The 12,045-nt window shown below is 43.0% G+C and overlaps 1 protein-coding gene across 26 annotated transcripts in view; it reads left to right on the plus strand.

The window, feature by feature from the left end:
• PCBP3 (poly(rC) binding protein 3) overlaps positions 1–12,045 on the plus strand; it is a 298,726-nt gene that overhangs the window by 197,119 nt on the left and 89,562 nt on the right. For 19 of the 26 annotated variants that reach the window (NR_145492.2, NR_189734.1, NM_001382284.1 and 16 more), the window contains 1 exon segment: positions 9,118–9,252. Coding sequence is in view for 21 of the 26 variants with exons in the window: in NM_001382284.1 (NP_001369213.1) it covers positions 9,243–9,252 (10 nt within the window). In the remaining 5 variants the exon portion in view is untranslated. 26 annotated transcript variants of the gene reach the window in all.

Consider the following 12,045-nt stretch of genomic DNA (forward strand, 5'->3'; position numbering starts at 1 on the left):
GGCTCAGCTGATCCTCCTGCCTCAGCTTTCCAAAGTGCTGGGATTACAGATGTGAGCCACTGCACCCGGCCTTTTAAAATCTCTTATACCATATTTCACTGTACCTTTTCTATGTTGTTTAGGTATGTTTAGATACACAAATACATAGAACTGTGTCACAGTTGCCTACAGTATTCAGTACAGTCATGTGTTGTGTACCGCTTTGTAGCCTAGGAGCAATAGGCTATACCATCTAGCCTGGGTGTGTCAGCTCTCTCACCTAGGTTTGGGTAAGTATATTCTACGATATTTGCACAGTGATGAAATCACCTAAAAGTGCATTTCTCAGAACGTATTCTCGTCATTAACGCAGGACTGTGTGTCTCCCCACGCTCTTGGAAGATGCAGCAGGAATCGCGGTTGTATGTATGTTGGATCTCTTTTGCCTGTCTTTTTGTCTGTCATGTTCTCCTGAACCTTTTTTACCTCTCTTTCTGTTTAATTATTTTCATTCTCTTCTTTCTGTTTTATTCCTGTGCCTTCTGTGATGTCTCCTTACTCTTACATTTCTTCTACTTTTCATTTCTGAAAAAAAAAATCTAGTTGGTTCGTGAGTTCTGTCAATAGTAAAATGTCTTCCTGTTTTCTTGCCATTCCACTTCTGAGATGTTCTAATACTATTTTAAATTATGTTCTTCTAAAATGATGGTTATTTTCTCAATTTTTAGTTCAGTTTCACATATTACGCTATGAGTTTCGTTTTCTTTGTGTCCATAGTTTTTTGGTATATTTTCATTATCTGCTAGTGTGTTATTTATCATACTTTTACTTCTTTTTGGTAGTGTTCTCATACGGGATTTGATCATAATTCTTTGTGTCCCATTTTTAAATAAGAGTCTTCCTGGACTATTAGGAGAAAGTTTTCTGTAGAGGAATTGGGAATGAGCCAAAGTAGCATTCCTAGCCTCAGCAACCAAGAGGTCTCTCTGTTATTACGGTGAAATATGTTTGAGGCCTGTGTGTGTGGACACTTCTGTCTCTAGAAATCACTTCCAACTCAGGAGGGCTCCCTTCCCTGACTCTGTTGTCTAGAGACGCACAGCCTCTCACTCTCCACGCTGAGCTGTTTGTTGCCTTCAATCACTGCCCTTTGTCACCAGTATGTGCTGGGGCTCACCTCCTCTGGATCTCTCTTTCTCTAGCACTTTCAATACAAAAATACCTCGTGTTCCAGGCTAGCTGAATTTGTGTTTTGCTTTGGGCAGTTTTCTTCCAGGCGATTCTCTGTGCAGAAGTGAATCTTCATTGTGTATTTCTGAGATACTTGAGGACTTAGGCCCTTCAGTATGGCTTAAATTTCCAGTGAACTCCTTAATAGTTCTTTTTTGTTGTGTTGTGTTGTGTTTTCTTGTTGCTTTCCTGGAACTTGGAGACTACAAGTACGATTTGGAGTTTCTCCATTTGCTCTCAGGATATTCACCTAGATTCCCACTTGGTGTGAGAAATCATAAATTCAATTGCTTTAATTGTTGTAGGGATATTGAGATTGTCTGTTTCATTTTTTATTTTGTTTGTTTGTTTGTTTGTTCGTTCTCCATATCGCCTACTTATTTGTTCAGGCTTTTTTGGAAACTTGGTTTGAGCCTGTCTATAGAAAGCTCAGTGAAGCTGCTTTAAAATCCTGGTAAGGGAATTCTAGCATCTCTGTTATCTCAGTGTTGGCCTCTGTTGATTTTCTTTTCTCTTTCATGTTGAGGTATGCCTAATGTTTGGCACGACACATAATTTTTGTTTGTGTCCTGGAAGTATAGGTTATTATGTTATGATAGTCTGAATCTTACATCAATCTTCTGTTTCGGCCTCTGTTGACACCATGGGGAAGGGATGTCTTGTTACCAGCAAGCTAGGGTGGAGATCCAGGCTCCTCCCTGGATCCTGGGGACACCACCGGTGGGGAGAAGGGTGCTTGGTACTGCTGGGTGGGAGTGGAAGCCGAGGCTCTCAGCTCAGCCCCTCTGACCGGGCAGGGTGCTGTGTGCGTCCTGTCCTGTGCATGGAGCAGGGCAGGTATTCTCAGATGCTTTCTGACCTAATAGGTTCCTCCTTTCCCATCCCTTTCCCTAGAGAGAATTTTCTTGAGACTGTTTTTTTCCAGTGTGTATCCTTTGGCATTTTTCAGTTGCTTTTCCAGTGCCCTGTCTGAAATATAGAGGAGGAAGCACAAACAAAACGAACAAACAAATAAGAAACCCAAAGAATAGCGAACTCACCGCTGTGTCATTCTCCAAATCCCAAGGGCCCAGCCAGTCCCCCTTCTTCCCTCCAGCTTTCAGGGTTCTCTTCTGTTTGTTCCACATGTAATGTCCAGAGTTGTTGGCTGTGCTCAGCAGGAAGAATAGGGAGAGAGGTGTCTATTCCATCCTGTCCAGAACCAGAAGGCATGGCTTCCTTTACGTGACTACTATCCCCTGTGCCTTCGCAGTTGTTTTTCTTGATTAATCTCATCAGAGGGTTGTATATTATTTAGACTTTAAGAACCAAATTTTATATTTACTGATCTTCTCAGTTGCCTTTGTTTCTTTGCTTAACTTCTGAACTTTTCTTTATTATTACCTTTCCACTTTCTGTGGATACTTTCTGTTCTTTTTCTAACTTTTTAAATGGGATTCGTGACTCACTAATTTTGTGTTTCTTTACTCCTTTTAAAAGCTATAAACTTTACTGTGAGTTCTGTTGCAGCTGTTTGCTACAAATTTTGGCATGCAATAATTTTATTATTGTTGAGGTCTGTTTTCTGATCTCATCTATTTCTTATCTGGAAACATTTAAAAAGTGTTTTGTCCAAGGGAATTGTAAAGTTATCTTTTGCTAATGATATTTAATTGCCTACTGAGTAGGAGATATGTTCTGTGGACTCCATGTTTTCAACATTTGTTGAAACCTGCAATATGAACTAAAACGTTATCAATTTTTGTTTTGTTCTCTGAGAGCCTTAGGAGAATGTGTTACCTCTGCTTGTCAGGTACAGGGTTTTATATACACACAGACACACATACGCACTATCATGTTGTTTGTGCTGTTAATATATTCTGCATCTTTATTACTTTTGTGGGGTATACTTGTGTGAACTGTAAAGGAGAGAGGTATGTTGGCATCTCCCACCAGTTGGGCGATTTGGGGCCTGTGACCTCTGACCTCACTGCTCCTTCTTGTAGCATTCTTCCTCCATTAATGCTCGTCTCTCTCCTTGACCTTCTTTCAGTCTTTCTTCTCAGTGTTTCTACCCAAAATTGCAGGCCCCAGCTCCAGCAGTCTGGTTGCGGACAAGGCCGTGCTTGTTTTTCATTGGGCTGGTCTGTCCAGCTCCAAGGCTGCCCTTTGAGCCGGACGATTGACCCACTGCATTAGGAAATGCTTTGCCGTCTTGGTGAGAGCCCCACTTTAGGGAGGTCTTGCACACTGCTGCATGGAGCATAGACACGTTGGGTGGGAGGTGCCCCAGCACCTAAGGACTCTTATGATTGGGTGGCAGGGGTGGGTGGTGCTGCCCTGCCCTCCAGAGCCCTTCACATGGTCCAGATGTCACCCAGCGCAAGGTGAGGGAGCCCTGGGGTCACATTCTCCACCCTCCCTCCAGCATTGTTGCAGCCGCAGGACACCTGCCAGGGTAGAATTCAGCGTGGCTGGAGGATTTTGTGTGGCAGAAGTAATGGAGATGGTAGGCAGGCTGGTCTCCCCGCTCCTCTGTGAGCACTGTGTGTTGGTGCTCCCTGCCAATGGTGCTCCCCGCGGCATGGTTCCACGCGCACCACAAGGGCAGCGTGGCTTCCTCATCTTAGATGTGACAGAATGGAGATAGTTCTGGGTGTTAGCCCACAAAAGTGGCAACGTTAGGGTCCAAACTCTGGTACATATGAAACCATGGTTCTTCTTTCTTCCTCTCCAGGCAGATTCATAAGAAGAAGACTGGGTCTGAGTTTATATACATATATATAAAGTTATATATAAACTTCATATACGTATATAAAGTTATAACTTTATATACGTATATGAAGTTTATATACGTATATAAAGTTTATATATATGCTTTATTTATATATATAGTTTACATATATATATGCTTTATTTAAGGTTGAACAAAATTTTGCATTCATCAGAAGCTTCCTTTTATGAATTCTTAGACTTTTTTACTGGGTACCCCAGAGATTTAAGGTATCAGCTTGAATATCTTCTAAACTGTTCTCCCTAAAAGGACCATACCTGGATTCTCAAGGAGTCCACCTCCGGAGGGGTCACTGACAGTTCTGCTCTCTTATGCCTTTTGTTCATCTTAACCAGCCTTGGTTAGCAAGGGGCACCTGCCACCAGATGATCTCTTACCAAGTCATGGTTTCCTGTCTGAAGCGGTTTCCCTGATGCTGAGAGGCATGAGGAGAATGTTACAGAGAGACAGCATGCTGCCTTGTGATTGTCTGAGGTTTGAAACCTTCTGGTGAAGCTGAAACCATTTCTTAAGAGCCTGGCTAATGCTGTGAGCTGCTTAAGCACCCGTGTGCACATGTGTGTAAGTGTGTGCCTTTGCCATGTGTATGCATGTGAGCTGCTTAAGCACCTGTGTCCACACGTGTGAGTGTGTGCCTTCACCTGTGTATGTGTGTGTGTGAGCTGCTTAAGCACCCGCGTGTACACGTTTGTGAGTGTGTGCCTTTGCTGTGTGTATGCATGTGTGTGAGCTGCTTAAGCACCCGTGTGCACACGTGTGAGTGTGTGCCTTTGCCGTGTGTATGCATGTGTGTGAACTGCTTAAGCACCCGTGTGCACATGTGTGAGTGTGTGCCTTTGCCATGTGCATGCATGTGTGTGAGCTGCTTAAGCACCCGTTTGCACATGTATGTGAGTGTGTGCCTTTGCCATGTGTATGCATGTGTGTAGTTTGCAGCTGAGTGCACTGCTTTTGTCTGGACTGTGCCCAGGAGGGAATGTGACACCCTTGGGGTCCTTGCCTTTGAAGCTGATCTGTTGTGGCAGCCAGTTCAGCATGTTCAGCAAGATGTTAAAGCCATTGCTCTGCTGTTACTCCCGGGGTCTCACAGCCAGAGCAGGCCAGAGGTGAGGAAGGGGATCCCATGCCTCCTTCATCTCCTCTGTCTCCTTGCCTTCCTAAACAGCTGTGTTTCCCACTGAAAAGGGAGCTGCAGAGCATTTCCACGTGGAGATTCCATCTCGTTTGTATCCAGCTCCATCAGGGGCCTGCTCTCAGGCTCCCCTGGGCGTGTGCGTGAGGTTGGAAGAGGCGGGTCACTGCAGGAATGTGTCGTTCTGTCATGTCACTCTCTCGATGTCTGGTCTCATGGGGTTCCTTACCAATTTAGGGACTTGTTAGGGAGATATCTAGAACTATATTGATAGATATACATCATGAACCAGTTCCCCTTAGGTGTTTCTAAAATGATATAAATTACCAAGGAAATAGCCTTTGGTTAAAGTTCATTATTTTCTGGTCTTGCATTGTTAGCATAGACTGCTGTCTGCTGTCTGTGCCATTTCTATTTCATGTAACTTACTGAGGTTTTCTTTGTGCCCTAATACAAGCTAGTTTTTTGTTTGTTTTTTTTTTTTAACGAATGTTTCAAGTATGTTTAAGAAGAAAGTATAATCTCTATTATTGGAGTACAAAGTTTGATGTAATGTCCCTAAGACCTACCTCCTGTTACTAGCTCTCTGTCATGCTGAGTTATTTTTGACCCCTTACCTTGCCATGGCTGACAGTCATGTGTTAATGATTGCTGTTCTTAGGTTTCTGTTTCTTTCCCCAACATCTATAGTTTCTGCATTATAAAGCCAGCTTCCGTGTTTGGGGTTCTAGCAGATTCTTAACTCATATGGCTTCGCCGCGCACTGGGTCCTCCGGCATCAAGAAGTGCCCTTCTTGGTCTTGCTTCCTGCTTTGAGGTGAGGCTGGACCTTGTCCCACAGGGAGATTGCAATCCCTGCTCTTCAGCCTGGTGCGCTGGCCTCACGTGCTTCTGCTCATTCCTTGACACTGAGCCTTTTCAAATCACTTGGCAATTGTCATGTCTCTTGTGTAAAGCAGAGCTGGCTTTGTGAGCCAAGTGGAAATTTTTCACAGGGCCAAAACCATTTACATTTACTCATGTGTTGCTAGGACCAGTATGTCCAGTCCCAACTGCCACATAACTTGCTCCTGTATTTAATGTGTGTGTTGTGTTTTATTTATTGTGCATCTTTTTATTTTTTACATGTGGTTTGTGTCTTTGCTTTTTTTTTCTGTTGTTTTTGGCATTTAGGAAGGTCTGTGTTTTGTTCTGCTGGCTACTGTTATAAATAACACCTCTCATTGCACCCTTAGTCCCTTGTTTCTTCCTCTGACCTCTTTATTTTGGCTTGTCTGGTGGGATTCTTTTCTCCCACCTATTTTTCATGCTTCAGTCTATGAGCTTATTCTACATTCCTTTTTTTCTGATTCATCTACCTCTGATTTATTTGCTGTATTTTTACTTTTGCAGAACAGCATGCTTCCCGATAAGAAGCTGTTTCACAGCCCACCTCCATCCTTACCCTCACTTTCTCTTTTAGTCTGTGCTCAACAGATTTGTTATTTTTGTTTATGTCAAATTTCCCAGTGGTCTCTTGGCTTGAGGAAGATTCTTTTGTAGTGGGTTTGGGCCTGGAAACACAGTGTTCATTGAGTTCTTAGCTATTTAAAACTATTTCTCTAGAGCTTTAATTTTGAAGGACAGTTTGGCTGACATAAAATCCTTTGGTCACACTTTATTTTTACTTGAGTTTATGAAAATAATTGCTCCACTGTTCACTTACCTTGTACATTGCAGTCAGGAAGTCCGATCCCCATCTGATTTTCTTCCCTTTGTGAATAAGCTGGTCTTTTTGCCTGGAGTCCCAAAGAATTTTCTCTCAGTTGTAATCATTACTGGGGAGTGCCTTCAGGGCCACCGTTCTGGGTCAGTTTGTTCAAGTACATGATGAGCCTTTCAACTTGTCGATTATTTTTTTCCTAAGAACATTTCTAGGATTTTAAGTATTAGGTCTGTTTCGTAGTTTTGCTTTTCTGTTTTGGGAACTCCAGTCTTTGTTTCTTGGGTCTTTGTTGGCCTGGGCTCTGTATCTGGCAGCTTCTCTGCGCGTCTCTCACCTCTTGGTCAGCCTCATGTTCTCTTTGATGTTCTCAGTCCTCCTGCAGTGTTCCTTATGCAGTCATTACCAGTAGAGGGTGTCCAGGTGGCATCTCGAACAAAGGATTGGACAAAACGCACAAACAAAGCAAGGAAAGCAAAAGCAGGGATTTATTGAGAACGAAAGTACACGCCATGGTGTGGGAGCAGCCTGACCATCGGGACTCAGGAGCTTACAGAATTTTCTGGGGTTTCGATACTCTAGAGGTTTCCCCTGGTTACTTGGCGAATATTCTATGAAAATGAAGAGAATGAAGTGAAGTCAGAGTCATTTACTCAGAATGCACCCTACTGTAAATGGAGAGGATGCTACTTGGAGTGTGTGGTCTGTATAAATGGAGAGGATGCATATGAAGTTACAAAGGGTAAATGCCGTGAACGGAGAGGGTGAAGTGCAGTTGCAAAGCTGTTCACATCCCTGTCATTGCTGAGGAGCTTTCATTTGATTTAGTTCTAGGGAGTCAGCCTGGATGGATCAGCCTTCTGTTCCCTGCCTCCTTCTGTTGTCCTGCCTCACACTCAGCTGAATCTCTCTCTTTTGGTACCTTGTAACTTAGTCTCATTTCTAGGCTAATTGTGTCATTCTCTTTCATTTCTGTCCTGGGTTAAATTAATTCTCATTTCACAGTTTTTTGTTTTAACTGTACATTTGTGTTCCTGGTGTTTTTAGTGTTTCATTTCTGTTTCTCAGCTTTTACTCATTTTGCTTTGGACTGCAGCGCTGGGTGGGAGTTCTCAGTTCCATTAGCTGAAGAAGTTTTAGTGCCCACACCCCGTTTTCCTCTCTCAGAGCCATGAAGGACTTCAGGAGTGTCTGCGACTTGGAGAACATCATTTACCCAAAGGGATTTTGCATGCCTTTTTTCTATTTATTTTAAAAGCACTTGGATTTTCCTGCACTAGCAGTAACAGGTGTTTCTAGCTGGGAATGGACATGCCAAGGGACACAGGTGGTTTACCAGGTTTCTTTGTCCAATAGCATCCTTTTTTGTTGGTCAGCAAAAATGTAGGTTCTTTTTAGAAAAAAACTGAATGGTGCATTTGGAGATGGATTAAATCTGTGTCTTCTTATGCCTTGCTATGCTTTTATTTCTGTAGGAAACTGAATTTCTACTCTTTCCATCCTTCCTTCCCTTTTTCTCCCAAGGTTCCAAATATGCCTTTTTTTTTTTTTCTTTTTTGAGACGGAGTCTCACTCACTCTGTCACACTCAGGCTGCAGTGCAGTGGCGCAATCTCAGCTCACTGCAACCCCCGCCTCCTGGGTTCAAGCAATTCTCCTGCCTCAGCCTCCGGAGTAGCTGGGATTACAGGTGCCCGCCACCACCCTGGCTAATTTTTTGTATTTTGGTAGAGATGGGGGTTTCACCATGTTGCCCAGGCTGGCCTCAAACTCCTGACCTTAAGTGATCCTCCCGTCTTGGCCTCCCAAAGTGCTGGGATTACAGGCATGAGCCACCACATCCAACCTCAAATGTGCCTTTTTTTTCCAAGTCTCTCCTCTAAGACCATGCTGAAATTGAAGAAATTAGATGAAATTTGTTCACTATCAGTGAAATTAGAAAACCAGCAATGTATTTAAATTAATATATAATTTAATAAATATTGTTTTAAAATCAGTGTAGATATAAGGAAATACGTAAGTAAGTGCAATTTTATCAAAACATTTCATGTAGACGTCTCACTTGTGAAGTGGAAGCCTGCCTTTGGGTTGAGTCACCTCATTTGGGGTGTTGGGGGGAAGAGCCCCAGGGGGGAGCGCTTGCTGGCACTCTGTCTCCACACTCACACTGTGCCTTGTACTCGAATGCTGAAGAGGTGTTGACTGCTGTGTTGAAGGCAAGAGGCAGTTCCGTTGAAGCCCAGTGCTGGCGGAGAGGCCCTGCACTGGTGCGCTCACACAGCCCTGTGTTTTTGTGTTTTAGGTCGGTAGGCTCCACGACAAAAGTCAACCCTTCTGTAAATCACCTGCTGTGGTTATGATGCTCTGAGTTCAATACGTCTGAACCTTTGCTGTCTATGGATCTGCTCTAAACCTTATAGCCTGCTTATGGGGGAAGGTGAGTTACTGTCTTTTGTTTCCATGTTTGTTTGTTTACCAAGAGTGTATATAACAAAGTCAGACTTACCCTTGACAAATGAAATCTGTTTGAAGTGACACAGTGCTGTATTTCACCCTGCTTCAGTCCACAATGTGCCCTGAAGACTATTCTGTATATGACTTTGGGAAATTGGGGATCCCTGCTTTTGATAGCAGTGAGCTGGTTGTGGTTGAACACCTTTGGGTCCAGTGCCAGGCCAGGTGGTTCTCGCACAGCCTTCCAGCTCTCCCCTGGAGCCAGCCCCGAGAAGCCAAGGAGGCACAGGTTTCAGGAATGAAGGACAAGAAGGCTGTGCTGGGGGCTGAAGATCGTCCTGAGGTGTTTGGAAAGAGTAGGTAATGAGAGCATCAGGAGTGGGGGTGCTGTTTTGGTGGTCTGGTGATACCCTGCAGACATTAGTGCCGTGGCTTGAGCTGCTACCATGAACTTCTGTTGATACAATTGCAAGGAACGTTGGATGAATGAGCAGTTGTGTTTGGAGCTTTTAACATATCCCTTCAAGAAGTAGGTCACCAAAAAATAAACGGGAGTATTAATATCTTAAGCAATATAATAAATAAGTTTGAGCTGTTAGGTATATTTTGAACTCTACATGTTACTTTCTAAGCATACAGAGAGCATGTACAGTACTAGGATGTGTACAGGTGAAGTCTGTCTGTAACATAGGGATGTATGTGTACAGGTGAAATCTGTCTATAACACAGCATGTGGAGAGCATAAGGCAATTATACTGGAAATTAATAGTAAAGGAATAGCTTACATAAATAATATGCTATAAAAAACTCTTGTTAGAAATAAAATCATAAAAGAAATAAAAGAACTTTAGGGCTGAGTGATTATGAGGCAGTATATGTCCAAATTAGCATGACACAGCTAAAGCAGTGCTTAGAAGGACATTTGTAGCTATAAACACGTGTTAAGAAACATGAAAAATTAACTCAAGAGGCTGAAAAAAGAGCAAGAGAGAAAGCCCAAGGATCCATAAGGCAGAAATCAGTGAAATAGAGAGCACAGAAAAACAGAAAATTCACAGCCCTGAAAGCTGTTTTGTGTTTTAGAGTCAATAGTTAGATCTTTGGTTAAAGAAAGTGGAAGGGCCGGGCGTGGTGGCTCACGCCTGTAATCCCAGCACTTTGGGAGGCCGAGGTGGGTAGATCAAGAGGTCAGGAGTTTGAGACCAGCCTGGCCAACATGGTGAAACCCTGTCTCTACTAAAATACAAAAATTAGCCAGGTGTGGTGGTGTGTGCCTTTAATCCCAGCTACTCGGGAGGCTGAGGCAGGAGAATTGCTTGAACCCGGGAGGAGAAGGTTGTAGTGAGCCAAGATTGTGCCCTTGCACTCCAGCCTGGGCCATGGAGTGAGATTGTCTTAAAAAAAAGAAAGAAAGTGAAGGGATGATACTGGTGACAGTCGATGGAACAGAATATAGAAAGGAGTGAATGAGTGAATAAATAAATAAAAATAAATATAGATGGATGGATAGATAGATAGATAGATAGATAGGTAAAGAAATAACCATAGATACAGCCAAGAAGAAAAGTTGAGTACTGTGGGAAACCATATGCTAACACATTTGAAAACATAGGTGAAATTGATAACTTCCTGGGAAAATAGGAAGTGCCAAAATAGACTTGAGAAGAAATAGAGAACTTGGATAAGCCAATAATACTAAAGAAATTTAAGTGACAATCAAAGACTTCCATTCAAAAAAAGTTCTCAGACACATTTTTATGGGTGAATTATACCTAACTTTAAGGAACACTTGATTTCTAACTTACACAGATTGTTTCAGAAAATAGATAATAAAGCTCCCCAGCCCTGAGGCTAGGAAGAAGAGAGGCTGGTCCACAGGTACAAAGTTAAAGTTAGACAGGAGGAGTAAATTCTGGTGTTCTGTTAACAATAGGGTGACTATAGCTAATAATAATATGTCTGTCCAGATAGCTGGAAGACAGGATTTTGAATGTTATCACAAAATCATAAATGTTTACAGTGATGGATATGCTAATTTCCCTGGTTTGATCATTAAATAATGTATACGTGTATTGCAACATCATACTGTATCCTGTAAATATGTACAACTATTATGCGTCAATTATAAATAAAGCTTAAAAAAAGCTGACGGCTTCGAAGGTCGAGGCAAGGAACGTGGCCTGGAAAAGACAAGGGAAAATTTCCCCAAAGCCTTCAGAAGGAACACAGCCCTGCAGCCACCCTGACTTTTGTTCAGAAGGAACACAGCCCTGTAGCCACCCTGACTTTTGTTCAGAAGGAACACAGCCCTGCAGCCACCCTGACTTCTGTTCGGAAGGAACACAGCCCTGTAGCCACCCTGACTTTTGTTCAGAAGGAACACAGCCCTGTAGCCACCCTGACTTTTGTTCAGAAGGAACACAGCCCTGCAGCCACCCTGACTTTTGTTCAGAAGGAACACAGCCCTGCAGCCATGCTGATTTTTGTTCAGAAGGAACACAGCCCTGCGGCCACCCTGACTTCTGTTCGGAAGGAACACAGCCCTGCAGCCATGCTGATTTTTGTTCAGAAGGAACACAGCCCTGCAGCCACACTGATTTTTGTTCAGAAGGAACACAGCCCTGCAGCCACCGTGACTTTTGTTCAGAAGGAACACAGCCCTGTAAACACCGTGACTTGTCTAGTGAGATCTGATTCAGACCTCTGACTTCTGGAAATAGAAGATAATAAATTTGTGATGTAATTTGTAACATCAGCAATAGTAAACTAATACAGT

The sequence above is a fragment of the Homo sapiens genome, chromosome 21 (assembly GCF_000001405.40).
Source record: "Homo sapiens chromosome 21, GRCh38.p14 Primary Assembly".
NCBI lineage: Eukaryota > Metazoa > Chordata > Mammalia > Primates > Hominidae > Homo > Homo sapiens.